The 17521-nt window shown below is 45.8% G+C and overlaps 1 protein-coding gene across 9 annotated transcripts in view, besides 5 other annotated features; it reads right to left on the bottom strand.

Annotated features, from left to right (window-relative positions):
- The window catches only part of SPMIP3 (sperm microtubule inner protein 3), a 37029-nt gene extending 34034 nt beyond the window's left edge, over positions 1 to 2995 (bottom strand). For 8 of the 9 annotated variants that reach the window (XM_017000571.3, XM_011544124.3, XM_011544129.4 and 5 more), the window contains exon 1: positions 2896 to 2995. The gene's annotated coding sequence lies outside the window, so the exon portion shown is untranslated. Of the gene's footprint in view, positions 1 to 1707; positions 1791 to 2895 lie in introns of those variants that run through there. The other variant, XM_011544128.3, reaches the window with a different exon arrangement.
- Positions 598 to 1116: an enhancer, noted in NCBI's record as "H3K27ac hESC enhancer chr1:244517816-244518334 (GRCh37/hg19 assembly coordinates)". NCBI's record gives its function as "activates a minimal SCP1, AML or CMV promoter by ChIP-STARR-seq in primed H9 embryonic stem cells {active_cell/tissue: H9 hESC(primed)}" and the evidence as "EXISTENCE:reporter gene assay evidence [ECO:0000049][PMID:30033119]".
- Positions 4986 to 5045: an enhancer, noted in NCBI's record as "active region_2839". NCBI's record gives its function as "activates an Ori minimal core promoter by ATAC-STARR-seq in GM12878 lymphoblastoid cells {active_cell/tissue: GM12878}" and the evidence as "EXISTENCE:reporter gene assay evidence [ECO:0000049][PMID:35858748]".
- Positions 13649 to 13943: an enhancer, noted in NCBI's record as "tiled region #4511; HepG2 Activating DNase unmatched - State 8:EnhW, and K562 Activating DNase matched - State 5:Enh". NCBI's record gives its function as "activates a minimal TATA promoter and a strong SV40 promoter by Sharpr-MPRA in HepG2 cells, with weaker activation in K562 cells {active_cell/tissue: HepG2 | K562}" and the evidence as "EXISTENCE:reporter gene assay evidence [ECO:0000049][PMID:27701403]".
- Positions 13649 to 14203: a biological region, named in NCBI's record as "Sharpr-MPRA regulatory regions 872 and 4511".
- Positions 13909 to 14203: a silencer, noted in NCBI's record as "tiled region #872; HepG2 Repressive non-DNase unmatched - State 7:EnhWF, and K562 Repressive non-DNase unmatched - State 5:Enh". NCBI's record gives its function as "represses a minimal TATA promoter and a strong SV40 promoter by Sharpr-MPRA in HepG2 and K562 cells {active_cell/tissue: HepG2 | K562}" and the evidence as "EXISTENCE:reporter gene assay evidence [ECO:0000049][PMID:27701403]".

Genomic DNA, 17521 nt, shown 5'->3' with positions numbered 1-17521 from the left:
CAAATCACGAGGTCAAGAGATCGAGACCATCCTGGCCAACATGGTGAAACTCTGTCTCTACTAAAAACACAAAAATTAGCCAGGCGTGGTGGCGCTTGCCTGTCATCTCAGCTACTCGGGAGGCTGAGGCAGGAGAATCGCTTGAACCCGGGAGGCAGAGGTTGCAGTGAGCCGAGATCACACCACTACACTCCAGCCTGGAGACAGATGACACTCCGTCTCAATCAATCAATCAATCAATCAATAAAAAGAATAAAATTTATTTGGAAATGCAAGAGAACTAAAATAGCTGAAGCGATTTTGAAAAAGAGCAACTACCCTCTGGTAGAAAGGGGTGGGGAAGAACCTCAGCTAACACCCACCATCCACCTGACCTTTCACATGGGCTATTTCGTCCAGTCCTTGAAATAATCCTGCAAGTTGTTCATGATTACTGTTAGTTTATAGAAAGTGTTAAACCACAAGTTTAAGTTCACACAGCCAGGTCTGTCTGACCCCAAGGCTCAAGCCCCTTCCACTGTAGCATCACTGATTGACTGATCCATTCAGCAAAGATTTATTAACCAACTGCCTTTGCCTGACCCTGCCAGGCAGCTACAGGAAATGCGTTCAGCAAAAGACACGTGATTTCGCCGCCATGTTGCTTACAGTCTGGTAGAGGAGATAATGTCAGAGATTAATCATAGAGCCACACAAGTGCATATAAAATTAAAGCACAGTCACTGCTAAAACACAATCCTTTCATACCAGATTACCTTCCAGGCAGCTGAGGTGGCTGCACCTCCCTCTCCTCTTTCAGAGGTCTAAGTCACATTTGTTTCAGAAAACCTGGACATTTTCCCTGATATGAAGCATCTGAAAAGCTTTCCTCAAGGTGAAGGACTTTCTAAAGACTTGGTTGAAAAACATTTAAAAAATTGGCATCTCTTTTTATGATAGGAAAGAATTTTTAAAAGTGTTGTTAAATCAGGCCAGCCATGGTGGCTTATGCCTGTAATCCCAGCACTTTGGAAGGCCAAGGCAGGCGGATCACTTGAGGTCAGGAGTTCGAGACCAGCCTGGACAACATGTTGAAACCTGTTTCTACTAAAAATACACACACACAAATTATCCGGGTGTGGTGGTGCACACCTGTAGTCTCAGCTACTCTGGAGGCTGAGGCAGGAGAATCGTTTGAACCAGGAGGTGGAAGCTTCAGTGAGCCAAGATTATGCCATTGCACTCCAGCCTGGGTGACAGAGCGAGACTCCAACTCAAAAAAAAAAAAAAAAAAAATCAAAGTTTGGGTACTCCCAGTACAATGCCAAGTGAAACCAGTAACAGTTACTTAGCAAATTTAATCAACTTATGGGCCCCAATTAAATGAAAACTAGCAAGTTATTAATTAATCTGTCCAGAGAAGGGGCAGAGGAAGGATATTAGAGTCAGGGTCCCAAGACTTGATGTTATGTATCTGGTAAGATTTGGAAAATTCAGTGAGTCAATGGAACCTTGTAGAATAGTCAGAAAATGGCATGTGAGCTGGTGAGTAAGTTGCATCCGTTGACTTTCTGGATGCATTTTATAATGCCCCATTTCCTTGTAAGTGTTGCATCTGTGCTCATGAAATTAGAGGAAATTCAACCTCTGGGGAAAGTCGTGCCCTAGTGATCTGAGGATGCAGAGAAGGCGTGGGTGGGGAAGTGCTTTGGGATTGACATGACTCACCCTGGCTAGGAGCATGGTGACTGTACTAGCTGCCTCTGAGCCTGTGCGATGAGAGGCTGTTTAGAAGAGGGCTCGCAGCAATGAGTTACTTTGATAGTCCCCTGTTGCTTCTGTTTTCTCAGGCAGGCAGTTTTCCCAGTTCAGGAAGGTTGGTTCCCTTCTCCCCTGACTCTCACCAGTTCTGTAATGAATTCTGCTGCCTGAATACTCTTTCTTTTTTCCTTCTCTAGCCTAAATTAAGCCCATTCTTCAGGGCTTTGTTCAGGTCCTACATACGTTCCCTAGGAGGCCTCTCTTCTGAGTTTCAAATGGCCCATTTCCCTCCTGTGAATTCCCAGAGCCCCTGGGAGATTCTCCTACGCATTTTGGTTCTGAGTCCTTTCCTTTTTGGTTTATTGGTTTCTGAATTGATTTATTCATTTTATTATTTAAGAAAAATTAGTGACAACTCTCCACCAGGCTTTGGATAAGGTTCTAGAAATTCTTCAAACAACGAGACATCTGGGTTTTTTGTTGTTGTTGTTGTTGTTTGTTTTCTTAAACAGAGACAGGACCTTGCTACGTTGCCCGGGCTGGTCTCAAACTCCTGGGCTCAAGTGATTCTCCCACCTCGGCCTCCCAGAGTGTTGGGATTATAGGTGTGAGCCGCCACGCTTGGCCAAGACATCTGTTTTATACAGCACTTTGTCTCTTCAGGTAAAATGTGAGCTCCTAGATGTTGGGGACCACTTCGTTTGGTGGCCACGATCTTCACTCTCTTTGTCCTTCTCCTAACTCATTCTCTTGCAAAGTGTTCGCTGTCCAAGGAGTGCTTGATGCATACTTCAGAATGAGTGAATAAATCAATCGATCAGCTAACTCAGTAACCTGTTAATCTAGTTCACAGTTTTTAAAACCTAGGTCTTCTTGTATCACAGAGAACCAATTATCTTATTTAATATAGGTGTACCCGTTTCTAAGAAAAAAAAGACACGTTGAGTTAAAACTATGACAAGAATTCAAAGTTGAGAGAGATGAGTATTCACTTTCCAAAAGACATTTTTGCTTTACCAAAAGGCTTGCCATGAAGTTTCTTTATGTTGTGAGTTCCTGTCTCTAAAATATTTGAAATGCAGTCAACCATTTAGTAATGCAACCTCTAAATGAGGCGAGAGAGAGGTACAGGCAGTAACAACCAACCGCTATTACCTGCTTGGGCTGCCGTGGGCAGAGACCTCCTTGTTCTTAAAAGTACTCTGAGGACAGTGATGGGTACAGCTGCCTCCTGCTGCTGGATCAACTGCAGAGTGGCAGGGCCTGATTCCTTTACATCATTCAAAGGGTATTGTGACGCACACTGGCTTGCAAGGTTTTGCCAGGCAATGCCTTTCAGGTCCTGGGCTTAGAAAAAGAGTGCTCCTTTGGTCTCTAGGGAGAGACCAGCTGCACATGAAAGAAGGGGCAAAAATTACTGTGAAAAGGAAAATCATGTAGGCAAATAACCAGGCTATCTAATCACTAGAGCTTGCTTTCCTGTAAAGATTGTCCCAAGGACAACGTAAGGTGAAAATCTGGGTGGTGCCACACTGAGGAGTCCTGCCCTTTGCAAGCTGGAATTGAGGAAGGATGGTTTGGCACGAGGGGCAGATGAGGCCAGCCCCGCCTTGTCCAAGGTTAGGTCAGGCTCCAACCTGCTCCTTTGCAGGTATCAAAGGATAATTTTAATTATTTAAAAATATGCTGCAAACCAATCCATGGAGTATCACAACAGCACCACTATATAGAAGCAAGCCATAACCTGAGAAGAAGAGAGTGGCAAAAATATTTATTCTGACCAACCTCTGTCAAAACCAAACCAAACCAAAACGAAACACTGGCATTTTTTTTTCTTTTTTTTTTTTTGTGATGGAGTCTCTGTTGCCCAGGCTGGAGTACAGTGCCACAATCTCGGCTCACTGCAAGCTCTGCCTCCCGGATTCAAGCGATTCCCCTGCCTCAGCCTCCTGAGTAGCTGGGACTACAGGCGCGTGCCACCACGCCCGGCTAAGTTTCTGTATATTAGTAGAGACGGGGTTTCACCACGGCCAGGATGGTCTCGATCTCCTGACCTCATGATCCTCCCGCCTCGGCCTCCCAAAGTGCTGGGATTACAGGCGTGAGCCACCACACCCAGCCAACACTGGCATTATCTACAGTAGGTTGTCCTGGAAACAGGGACACTTCTCACTTATATACAGTTTGCAGGTTAGAATGTAAAATATTTCCATAAGATTCCAGAAGGCACTCAGGAGAGACCAGGGGCCAGGCTGGGTTCCTGCTGGGAGCTTAACCTACATGGAACAGGCATAAAATAATGTAATGACAGAGTCTTGGTGACAGCATTTTGTTGAAAGCAGATAAGCTAGGGAAAACTTAAATAAATATATGAGGACAGAAGCAACAAACTGGAACCACACTAAGAGAAAGGATAAATTGGTTTGATTTGTTGAGTGAGCACCACACGTTTTTTTAGCTATTAGACACACACCATCTAGAATCTCCACCACCACCATGGAAGGAGATTCTCTTTTGAAAATGAAGTATTTCTATTTGAAATGAAGGCTAAGAGAAGAAGCTACGGAACTTGCCTAACAGTCACACAACGAGGCCGTAATGAATCTATGATTTGAATCCAGCTATTTGACGTCAAAGGCGTTTTAAGAGTAATAACCAGTATTCTTCACTGAGGAAAAAAAATGAACAAAAAATCCCCATGTTCTTTACGTAAGACATACCTGGCAATATAACAGAAAGTACAAAGAAGAAAGTTTCACTCGCGTTCGTGTGAAGAGACAACCAAACAGGCTTTGTGTGAGCGATAAAGCTTTTTAATCAGCTGGGTGCAGGCCGTCTGAGTCCGAAAAGAGAGTCAGCAAAGGGGAGATAGGGGTGAGGCCGTTTTATAAGATTTGGGTAGGTAAAGGAAAATTACAGTCAAAGGGGGGTTGTTCTCTGGCGGGCAGGAGTGGGGGTGACAAGGTGCTCCGTGGGGGAGCTTTTTGAGCCAGGATGAGCCAGGAGGAGGAATTTCACAAGGTAATGTCATCGGTTAAGGCAAGGACCGGCCATTTTCACTTCTTTTGTAGTGGAATGTCATCAGTTAAGGCAGGAACAGGCCATTTAAATTTCACTTCCTCTGTGATTCTTCAGTTACTTCAGGCCATCTGGATATATACGTGCAGGTCACACCAGCAGGCTATCAGTAAAGTCCTCCTTACCGGTGGGAGGTGGAGTAGGGCTAGCCCCTGGCATTCTGTAGGGAAGCAAGTGTTAAAACTTTCACTTAAGCCGGGCGTGGTGGCTCACGCCTGTAATCCCAGCACTTTGGGAGGTCAAGGCGGGCGGATCACCTGAGGTCGGGAGTTCGAGACCAGCCCGGCCAACATGGTGAAACCCCCGTCTCTACTAAAAATACAGAATTAGCCGGGCGTGGTGGCGCATGCCTGTAATCCCAGCTACTCGGAAGGCTGAGGCAGGAGAATCGCTTGAATCCGGGAGGCAGAGCTTGCAGTGAGCCGAGATCGAGCCATTGCACTCCAGCCTGGGCAACAAGAGCAAAACTCCGTTTCAAAAAAAAAAAAAAAAAAGTTTCACTTACAGCACAAAAGGACAGAGTAGGAGGAGGAGGAAGCAACTGGCAGGTGCAGTTTCTCAGGCATTTGAGAGGTTGGAGAAGTCATTATGAGAGTAATGAAACTGGCTGGTTCCTGATGAGTACAATCTATGCTTTGCAGTAAGACGGTAAACATCATCATTAATTTAGGCAAAGTGTGAAAGCAGGGCTCCCCCTTTGCAGCATACAGAGGGGCTCTCATTTCCTGCAGCAGGGGGGCAGGAAAAGATGAGAATTAGACTAAGGATTTAAATATAAGGGTAGTGGGGCCCCCGAGAAGAACCTGGCAAATCTGCTCTGCCAACATCATGGCTGAGTTTGGAAAGGATTGGTGACCTCAGATTTGGTTGAGGACAAAGAGGTCAATGCACTTGACGGCTTGCAAACTCAGATTCCTCTCTGTCCGGGGTTATTATTCCTCCCTGGCTTGACGGCTTGAAGATAATGCAGGGGTCGTCTCACCACCGCTTCAGGATTTACCATTTCCTCTGCTGGCCGCCAGACGATAATTAGATGGAGCAGCAACATGACCCGCAGGGGAAGTGCCTGACCCACTAAGAGAGGAAAGAAATGATGAGTCAAAGAAAAATAATCTGAATTTCAGTCAGAAGGAAAGATTAGACAAATTCAAACATTCTACAGCATAACTGGCCTGGACTCTTTAAAAATGATAAAGTCAAAAAAGATACCAGAAGGCTGAGAAACTCTTCTAGATTAAAAGAGAACAAGAGATATGACAAAGAAAAGCAATCCGTCCTCTTGGGCTGGGTCCTGGCCCAGACTGGGAAGTCCCCTGCCGCAGAGCCCGATGCACTTTCTGGAGGCCCTCTTGAGGACCAAGGTCCTATTCCCCAGCTGAAAGCTTTGCCTGCTCCTAGATCATAGTTCACTTATGTGCCAAGAATTGGCATTACCCAAGATTACACACCCTTCCTGGGGTAGCCCATGTCCAAAGATTGATTAACACGGGGATACAAAAGTCCAGCCTTCTTGCTTGAATTTGGGACATCTCTGGAGTTCCATTCTAGTTTCAGAGCTTTCCGTGGCATTGGCTGACGCATCTGAAGTAAGTGACTCATAGTTCAGCTTCTCCCTTTGCCAAATCCTGTTTTCTTCACTCCCTTCCACGTGTTGCTACACAAGCACGCCCCGATAGACCACTTCCCAACAGACTGCTTCATGAAAATTTCCATCTCAGAGTGTGGAGCCCAGGAAACCCTGTCTAAGAGACCAACTCAAGGCCAAAGGACCTCCCCCTTCAAAAGAACTGCAACCCTGCCGTTTTCCATCTGTCTCCGGTCAAATGTTGCGATGTTTACACTGGAGCAGGTACACCATGTGCTTTGGGGGTAGGGGAGGGAATGAAGAAGATGGTGGCTAAAGAGCATTCCGTCAGCCATTCCATCCCATTATTCCATTAGACCCATGGTCACGTGCACCTGTAGTCCCAGCTACTCAGGAGGCCAAGTGGCAGGAGGATCGATTGAGGCCAGGAGTTCGAGACCAGACTAGGCAACATAGTGAGACCCTGTCTCAAAAACAATTTTTTGGCTGGACATGGTGGCTCACACCTGTAATCCCAGCACTTTGAGAGGCCAAGGCGGGTGGATCATGAGGTCAGGAGATCGAGACCATCCTGGCTAACACGGTGAAACCCCGTCTCTGCTAAAAATACAAAAAATTAGCCGGGCTTGGTGGTGGGCACCTGTAATCCCAGCTACTCCAGAGGCTGAGGCAGGAGAATGGCGTGAACCCGGAAGGCGGAGCTTGCAGTGAGCCAACATCATGCCACTGCACTCCAGCCTGGGCGACAGAGAGAGACTCCGTCTCAAAAAAAAACAAAACAAAAAACATTTTTTTTATTTACAAAAGCCACATTTTGCAGAACTATCTGACATAATATTCTCAATGACAATTTAAAAATGTCTCTTTATCAGACACACAATACATAGTGTTTAAGGAGAACCTGCCAGGTACTCATTCCTGTACTGGCCAGCTGGGAGTGAGGAAATTCTAGGAGACGTGGAGACGATCATAGGCCAAAAGTGCAGCTCTGCACCTTGGCTATAAAACAGGGCAATAAAACCTACCACATGAGGCTCATTCCCAACGGGATTACAAGCAGAATGTCTGTGACAGCACTTTGTTGTTTGCAAATGTTAGTTATAATTATATAGTACAGCCATAAACCTCAAAAAGCTATGTAGACTGGGAGGTCACACTCTGACTCATTGACATAAACTGTCCTTTGGGACAATTGCATATTGGATATTCTCCTCAGACCTTTTTTCACTTTCCCCTGGATTTTTTTATTGTAAATTGACCATTTATAATTGTATAATCAAATATTTTATTGAGAAAATTTCAAACTTACAGAAAAGTTGAAAGAATACAACAAGCGTTCATGTACCTTCAACCTAGTTTCACCAATTTTTAATATTTTCACATTATATAATTTTTTTCCGAACCATTTGAAAGTAGACATCATGACAGTTAATTCTAAATATTTCAGCATGCATTTCCTAAGAATAGGAACATTTTCTGTTAACCCCAGTGGGCTGTCTCATCTAAGAAAAGTAACACTAATTTTATAATACCATCACATATACAGTCCAAATTTGAATTTTTGTAAATGACCCACAAATGTTTTTCGAAATGTATCTTTTCTTCCTCTCTTATTTTCAGTGACCCATGATCGAATCACATTCTATTCGGTTATTATGTCTCTGGCCTCTTCTAATCTATTTCCCCTCATTCTTTTGTTTACTTTTCATGATAATAACTTGGTTTAAAGAGTGTGTGCCAGTTGTAGAATGTCTCACAGTCAATTTTTTTCTCATTTGCTCATGATAAGATTCTAAGGAAACACTGTTGGCATGAGTACCCCATGTGGGAATTTGTGGCATACTGTATACCTTTAAAGACCTTATCAAGGACTTAAATAGAGTTCTTTTGGTTTTAAGTTACAAAAATAATCACTATTAACTTGATAAAAAAATTAACTTCTTGGAAGGCAGTTTATTGGAGTGGACTATAGAATTGAAGGAAGGACGGGACTCACCATGCCTCAAGGAGGCAGTACCAGGTCAGGTCTTGGGATCCCAGAAGCAGGGGTTCATGGTCCCTTGGGCACTGCCATTGATATGACGCGGCTTCCATGACACCCTGTCTGTTGGGGTCAGGTCACATAGACACAGCCACTGGGGAAATAAGATCAGGCAGCCACCCCAGCTGCTTTCTATTTAAGAGATGAAGACATTTACCATTATATGAGGCTTATACGAAAAGGCTTTTACTTGCTTTCTTTATTTGATTTGCCCAACAGATCAAGAGACAGGAAAGTCTCTGAAGGATCCCCCAAGCAAAAGATTGTCTCCTAAGTCATAAGATCATTTTGTGCATCTCATTAGCCTGCCTTCCCCAGTCCTCACCCTCCGCCCCCAATTAATTAAATCACCGACATCTCAGTCACCCAAGTCATACATTTGGGAATCGCCTAAGAATCCTTCTCCCTCAGCCCTCACTTCTGGTAGCTCACTAAGTACTTTCACTTCTGCTTCCTGATAGTCTCACCATGCTGTTCTCAACTCATCTGCTAGTTCTGTTCCTTATCACTTCTTGTTTGGACCTGTTTGAAAGACTGTGAGCTGAGCCTGTAGGTCCCCTCTCCACCGAGCAGCCCTCATTTCTTCCTGGCCAACACAACCACAATTTTGTTCAGGTTGCAGTCGGCCCAGCCCAAGAGAATGATTATGGTTGATCTCAGCCAAGTTTGGAGATCCCATTCCCTTTTGTGTGTGTGTGTGTGTGTGTGTGTGTGTGTGTGTGTGTGTGTGTGTTTTGTTTGTTCACTTTTTGGTCTCGGGGTTTTTTGTTTTGTTTTGTTTTGTTTTGTTTTTGAGACAAGGTCTCTCTATGTTGCCCAGGATGGTCTCAAACTCCAGTGCTCAAGTAATCTTCCCACTCCAATCTCCTGTAGCTATTACTCCAGGTACAACCTCCTGAGTAGCTAGTACTACAAGTGCACACTGCCACATCCAGTTCCCAATCCTCTTAGTTCTATGCTCATGGCTCTGTCCTTCCTCACAGCTCAGAGCACCTTTGTGACTTAGTTCTAACCAACATAACCAACAAGATGTAAGGAAACATCCATTGGGGGTTTTCTACAGAATGTTTTCCTCGCTGAAAAATGAACTATCTTTTTCCACCTTCCGCTTCCATTCCCCGTGATAGCAAACACAATGTCTGGGGCCCAGCAGCCACTGTGCAGTTGATGCAGCCATGCTGTCACGCGTGCTGCTTCCTGGCTGTAGACACATTGCTCCTCATGTCTGCCTGGCTGATTTCTATTCATTCTTCATCTAGGGAGTGTCCCCTACCCACCTGACCTTGTAAGCCCTCTCCCACACCACTGATCACTATGTACTGTCTACCTGTGTGCCAGCCCAGTTACACCTTAAAGTTGGCACGTATCTTCTCTTCTTCATTAGAAGCAGCATAGGTTTGTTAAGAGCAAGAAGTCTGGCCACAGAGCCCTGGTTTCATTATTTTATTTTATTTTATTTTATTTTGAGACAGGGTCTCACTTGTCACTCAGGCTGGAGTGCAGTGGCACAACCATGGCTCACTGCAGCCTTAACCTCCTGGGCTCAAGCAATCCTCACACCTCAGCCTCCAGAGTGGCTGGGACTACAGGCATGAGACATCATACCTCACTAATTTTTAAATTTTTTGTAGAGATAGGGTCTCATTATGTTGCCCAGGCTGAGCTCTGATTTTAAATTCTCATGCTACTACTTTATTGGCTCCATTGGTCATTCCTTACTTTCAGAGCCTTAATTTTCTCATTTGAAGAATGGCAGTAAGATCATTATGATCTAGATTGTAGGATTGTTATGGGGAATAAAGAATCAATGCACATTAGCTTAGCACAGTGCCTGGTCCATGATAACTTCTCATCGTGCGTTCATTGGCCTTATTATTATTTCCGTTTCTGGCACCTACACAAAATCAGTCACTTACTAGACAGCTGAGCTCTGATTCACCTTGGAGATCTTGACTCCAAGTCGAGTGCTCTTTTTACTGACCTGAAGTTTGTGGGGTTAAAGAGACACAGTCCTACTTGCTAGCTCAGGCCCAAGTGGGCTGCTGGTGTTGAATGTGTGGTGACAAGTGCACAGGTCCATGGCACTATTCATTTATACCCAGATGTCACTTGGTCATCTGACTGCTTAGGATCTAGGTAAGAGTGTTTCAAATCCACAGTATCACTGCATGAATCCATCTGAAGCCTGCTGGGGAGGGAGCAGGGCTATGGTTATTTTGACTTTAAACTCTACTTTTTTTTTTTTTTTTGGTAGAGGCAGGGTCTCGCTCTGTCACCCAGGCTGGAGGGCAGTGGTGTGATCAGGGCTCACTGCAACCTTGAACTCCTGGGCTCAAGCAATCCTCCCACGTCAGCCTTCCGAGTAGCTAGGACAACAGGTGCGCACCACTGTGACTGGCTAATTTGTAAAAATTTTTTGTAGAGATGAGATTTCGCCACATTGCCCAGACAGATCTTGAACTGCTGGCCTCTAGTGATCCTCCCAAAGTGATGTGATTACAGGAGTGAGCCACCATGTTTTTTTTTCAACCAATTTATGGGTGTGATAGAGACTGCTATTTGTCCCTCATATCTATTCCGTCCTTATAGAGCCCTCACTTTTTAGCTGTACTCAGGGGTGACTCACCTAAAGACTATATTCCTCAGCCTCCCTTTCATTTGTTTAAGAAAAAAATATAGAAAGACTAAGAGAGTACAGATGGTGCAATGAGTGGGAAAGTTATATCCTTGAGCAAGAAACTCAATCTAGCACAGATTCTAGGTTCTGGGGGATTTGGTTCAAGGGAGGCCAAATGCAGTCGGTTTTTAAAGCCAAGACTGAGAACTGTGTAGGTCTCATGTCAGAAAATCGCAGTGTCTCAATGTTGTGTTGGCTGGCAACATCTAGATTTGCTGGTTAGGTAAGCACTGGGTTGACTGGAACCGTGCAGCATATGTGGGGTACCTACTTTGGGACGGTGGCATCCAGCAGCCTCTGCTTGAGTGAGGATTATAGTGTTCAGTGAAACATGCATTAATGGCAGCAGGCTGGGTGGCCAGGTCCTTGTATGTCACATTTAAGTGTGGCTATGTGTCTAATTTTGGCCAAGGAAATGCAATGGTGAGAGTGCTCTGTGCTATTTTTAAAAGGCATGGTCTTCTCCTTCCTGTTTGGTGGAGATGCAGACGGGATGCGGGGGTACAAGCAGTCCTGGGTCCCTGTGATGGAAGCCGGGAATGTAGGATGGTGGAATAATACATTTGAAGAAGGCTGGTTCCCTGATGCTTGTGGAGCCACCAAACCAGCTCCTGACTCCTTTCCTCGGGACTGGGTTTAGATGAAAGAGCAGTGAGCTTCTATCCTGTTGAAGCCCATCCCTTTTTTTTTTTTTTTTTTTGACCAAGTCTTGCTGTGTGGCCCAGGCCGGAGTGCAGTGGCAGGATCTCAGCACCTCCACCTCCCATGTTCAAGAGATTCTCTTGCCTCAGCCTCCTGAGTAGCTGGGACTACAGGCACGCGCCACCACTCCCAGCTAGTTTTTGTATTTTTAGTAGAGATGGGGTTTCGCCATGTGAGCCAGGCTGGTCTGGAATTCCTGACCTCAGGTGATCCGCCTGCCTTGGCCTCCCAAAGTACTAGGATTACAGGCGTGAGCCACCGCACCCGGCCTTGAAGCCCATCTCTGCAGAGCCAGACCCTCATATGTGTTGAGCAGGACAAGATCTACCTGTCTGTAAAGGAATTTTGTTTTTAAATAGGAATTTTCTACCCAGTCACCTCCCTTCATTCATTCACTTGTTGAAAAAATGTTAGATATTGTATACCAATATTTCCTTTCCCTTTATACTTAGGAAAGGCAGGAGTTATAGTAAAAAACAAACAAACAAAAACAACAACAACAGAAAACAGGGGTACTGAGAAAGAGCCAGATGCCACTGTCACTAAAATCCTAGTTCCTGAGCCTTGTGTGGCCACAGGGAAGAAAGATTGATGATAACATGGTTGTCACAACACAGTCAGAGCTCACAGTCACGTTTCAGTGCTAATCGTAACCACGGCAGAAGATGAGCTATGTGCTGTTTTACTATGGAAACTTGTTTTATTTCTCTTGCCCCCTCTTTTTTTTTTTTTTTTTTTTTTTCCAGCACCACATAGGATGGCAGGCAAGTACAGTGATGTCTCTGGGCCTCCTAGGAGGCTGTGGAAGTTAGGTGCAGTTTTTCTTATGATGACCATTTGGACTCTGGCGCCTTGATACGGTGTCATCAATAAGTAGCAAGATCCTGGAGAGAAACACCTGAAATGGAAGCCGGAACGTAGACCACAGTCAAAATTAAGTTTATGGAAAATAAAGAAATGTAAAAAAAAGTTATTTATGTAAGTTTTGGAACAAGATTGATACTTGCTACGTAACTTCCATTTGTGGAGCCCTTATTGCAAGCCTGACATGTTGCTGAAGTCTCCTCCTCATGAGGTTCTTTTTCTTTTTCTGTCTTTTTTTTTTTTTTTGAGACAGGTTCTCACTTTGTCCCTCAGGCTGGAGTGCAGTGGTGCAATCATAACTCACTACAGCCTCGACCTCCCGGGCTCAAGCAAACCTCCCACCTCAGCTTCCCAATTGGCTGGGATTGCAGATGCATGCCACCATGACTAGCTAATTTTTGGGTTTTTTTGTAGAGACAAGGTCTCCCTATGTTGCCGAGGCTGGTCTTGAACTCCTGGGCTCAAGCAGTCCTTTCACCTGGGCCTCCCAAAGTGCTGGGATTACAGGTGTGAGCCTCCATGCCCAACAGATTATTTTTTTAAGTTCTCACAGTGTTATGAGGTGGGTACTACAAAATCCAACTTGCGAAGGAAGCAACTGAGGCCTGGAAACACTGAGTGTCTGACCCATAGTTACACAGGCAGTAAAGGCAAAGTTAGGCTCTGAACCCAGGTCTGGGTGACCCCAAATCCCTGCCTCTGTGGAGTGTGCTTGAGGCTGTGGGTCAGAAGACCTGAATTGGGATCCTGGCTTTGCACAGCGTAGCTCCCTGACTTTGGGTACGTTTAGTCTCTCTGGGCTTCTGTATCCTCAGTTGACAGCGTCCCATCCTCCTGTGCCCGTCAGCAGCAGGAGATCATTGCCCCACAATACGGGCATTCTGCTTCTGTTTCTTCCTGTCTCATAGGCTCATGTGATGACTGATTCAACTGGGAGAAAACTCTGGGAGGATCTTACTGGGCGACAGAATGGGCAATGGTGGGGAGGCTCTTGCAGAGAGAGAGAGGAGACTTAAGGTGAATCATAAACACTGCCCCCCTCTCACCTGCAGTTCCTGCCCCATCCTGTCTCCGTTGGACCACAGCCCTTTGTCCCCAGACTGGGTGACTCAGCACTTGCAGGAGAGAACTGACTGAGGCTGAAGTTGCCAGAGGAAACCAAACAATTCTTATTTACCAAACTGTCAAAATCCTATCACTGCAATTAAGGAGATAGGCAATTAACTGTGTCTTAATTACAGCAGCTGCCACTTCTTCTGAATGCTGTAATTTACAGAGAGAATGGGAGGAGACTTTACGTTAATGTGTGTCTTTAAACAACGGAAAACATCGATGGAGCCTGAAGACAATCGTCAGCCTGGTGGGGGGCCCCTCCTGGGAAGAGGCATTGTTACAGAGTGTGCTTGCGGGACCCGTGATTTTCCCTCGCGCATGGGCTGCATTCATAACAAATGCCAGAATGACATTGTTACATCCTGTATTATACACAATACAATTTACTGATTCCAATAGCAACATCATCTGTGAAAACCTCTGCGAGTGTCCTCTCAGTCTTGGTTTAAAAAAAAACACATACAAGCTCAGTTTTAAAACAAAGAGTTTTTTGTTTGTTTGCTTTTGTTTTTTGAGACAGAGTCTCACTCTGTTGCCCAGGCTGGAGTGCAGTGGTGCGATCTCGGTTCACCGCAACCTCCACCTCCTGGGTTCAAGTGATTCTCCTGCCTCAGCCTCCCAAGTAGCTGGGATTACAGGCATGTGCCACCACGCCTGGCTAATTTTTTTATTTTTCTTAGAGACGGGGGTTTCGCCATGTTGGCCAGGCTGGTCTCAAACCCTTGACCTTAGGTGATCCACCTGCCTGGGCCTCCCAAAGTGCTGGGATTATAGACGTGAGCCACCACGCATGGCCCTAAAACAAAGAGTTTTAAACATTAAGTCCAGACTCATGGTCAGAGAAAGAAGGTTTTACTTTTTTATTTATTTATTTATTTTGAGATGATGTCTCACTATGTTGCTGGAAAAAAAGCTTTTAAATTCAGGATTTTAAAGGGTATTCAGATTTACATCTGTACAACCACTCTACGGGGTGGGTTTTACACGAATGAGGAAACCGACTTGCAGAGAAACTAAGAAACTTGTTCAGGCTCACGGAGCAAGCTATTAAGTGGCTAAGTTGGTTTCAGGCCCAGAGTTTGCTTTCTTCCTCAAGGCCGGTTGGCCACGTGGGATGCAAGGTTGACCACAGTGAGGGACCCCACACAGGGGAGAAGACAGAGCCGTGGCAAATCCAGGAGGAGCAGCCGTTAGTGAGGCGGCTGGCAGGTGAGAGAGAGCCCAGACTCGGCTGCAGTTTGGAGCTGCGCTTCAGTCCCGGGGAGGCCCCGAGTGGAGCGGTAGTAACGTGACGCTCTCAGGTGACACTGACCAGGCCTCCAATGCCTGCTCCTCCACTCCCCAGCCAGATGACCTTGGGAAATGTCCTTATCATCTCTGAGCTTCAATAGCGTCAATGTTCTTCATGTATGCTGGGGACCAGTTCAGCCTTGCACAACTGCCATGAGGATATAAAAGGAGAAGATGTGGCCCAGGGTCTGGAATTGTGGCTGGGATGCTGAAGTCACCTGGTAAATGTTTGTACATGCTTCTTCTTCCTCAAAGGAGGCTGGGCAGGGCCTCCAATCTAGGAGGCACGGGGGGTGCTGAGCAGTTACCAGAAAAAGGACAAATCCAGGGCCTGACTGACAGTAAGAACCAGAGCATACACTGAGGGAGGGAGGCTCAGTCTTAGGGATAAGCTGGATGCTTGGTTATCAACATCAGGGACCAGACCAATGCTGGACAGCAAATACCACGGGCTGCATGTTGAGTCCCAGAGAGTTGGGGTCAAGGCTGTCACATCCTCCTGCTTCGGATCAGAATGAATCCTAGGACCTGTGCAGGAGTCTAAGTGGCTGAGTTGTGAGGCTGGGTGGGCTCCAACACCCAGGGTGTCAGCTGGGTGGCCCCGGGCCCGGGCTTCCTCTTGGCAGACTCTCTCTCCTCAGTGCATGGACGTACTGTTCTAGCAGCCTGCAGAGAAATGACAATTGCCTCGACCAGAGGGCTAAGTGAGGGTGCAGTGCCGTGCCTGCAAGACACCTCACCTTAGACTGGTTCCTCTGGGAGCATCTCCTCTCTTGTTTGATTGAAATTTGACCCGTCTTCTGGAGAGACAGAGTTTTCAACACAATTCATTAATTTAGAGATACAATTATATCAAAGTGGCTGGGCACAGTGGCTCATGCCTTAATCCTAGTGCTTTGGGAGACTGAGGTGGGAGGACTGATTCCAGCCGGGAGTTCGAGAGCAGCCTGGGCAACAAAAATAAAAAACTAGCTGGGGATTGTGGCACATACCTACAGTGCCAGCTGCTTGGGAAGCTACGGTCGGGGGATCCCCTGAGCCCAGGCGTTTGAGGCTATAGTGAGCTCTGATTGCAGCACTGCACTCCAGCCTGGATGACAGAGTGAGACCCTGTCTCAAAAACGAAAACAAAAACCAGAAAAAAAGTCACATAAAAGCAAAGTGCGTGCCTGCAATCACCTTCACAAGAGAGTTGAATGTAACCTCAGAGTTGCCTGGTAACCATTGTAGAACAGACAGGGCCAACCCCAGCAAGTGGGCCTCCCCTCCTGACCTCCCCGGCCCTTCTCTTCACTCCTCTGAGCAAAGTCAGCATCCGGGAGGGAAGCTGGTGTTAGTCCTCTGGATCCTGATGGAATCTCCCAGGGAAGCCAGCACTGTAGCATCAACATTTGTGACCAACATAATTGTAGAGGCACCGCTCATCTAACGACCAGCAGCAGAAGTGCCATCCAGAGGCTGTGATCAGAGATCTGTCTCCAAGAGTCACTGATAGTTTCCCAGAAAGGAAGGTCAGAGATGAAAGAGCACAGAGTGATAATGGCACAGATCTGGACCTGGTGGTCCGGCGGGGTTGCGGGGTGATCCTATTGCACTCTCACTGTCTTAAAATTATTGACTTTCTTGTTCATCATTTGCAGAAGCCAAACTCCACATCTTGTAAACTCCTATGCACCCAGACTTAACACAGAAGCAACAAATGTTAACAGGCTACAGGCAAGTGGAATTAACATTGGGCAGAGATTTTAGTGTGGAGATTCCTTAAAGAACTAAAACTACCATTTGATTCAGCAATCCGACTCTTGGGTATCTACCCAGAGGAAAAGAAGTCATTAAGCAAAAAAGATACTTGCACACACGTTTATAGCAGCACAATTTGCAATTGCAAAATCGTGGAACCAACCCAAATGCCCATCGATCAGCAAGTGGACAAAGAAACTGTGGTGTATATATATATATGATGGAATACTACTCAGCCATAGAAAGGAATGAATTAACGGCATTTGCAGCCATGTGGATGAGATTGGAGACTATTATTCTAAGTGATGTAACTCAGGGATGGAAAACCAAACACTGTATGTTCTCACAGATATGTGGGAGCTAAGCTATGAGGACACAAAGGCATAAGGATGATACAATGGACTTTGGGGACCTGAGGGGAAGGGTGGGATGGAGGTGAGGGATAAAAGACCACAAATAGGGTGCAGTGTTTACCCCTCGGGTGATGGGTGCACCAAAATCTCACAAATCACCACTGAAGAACTTAGTCATGTAACAAAATACCATCTGTTCCCCAATAACCTATGGAAAAAAAAAACAACCACTGGGCAGAGTTTTGGTTCCCTGCCCATTATTCTTGCATTCAGTCATATTAAGCCACCAGGAAATCTTTGCCCACAGAATCACAGAAAATAGGGCTGGACAAACCTTG

The sequence above is a fragment of the Homo sapiens genome, chromosome 1, assembly GCF_000001405.40.
Source record: "Homo sapiens chromosome 1, GRCh38.p14 Primary Assembly".
Taxonomy (NCBI): domain Eukaryota; kingdom Metazoa; phylum Chordata; class Mammalia; order Primates; family Hominidae; genus Homo; species Homo sapiens.
The sequence above is the reverse complement of the archived record's forward strand: the minus strand, read 5'-3'. Positions and strand labels throughout refer to the sequence as shown.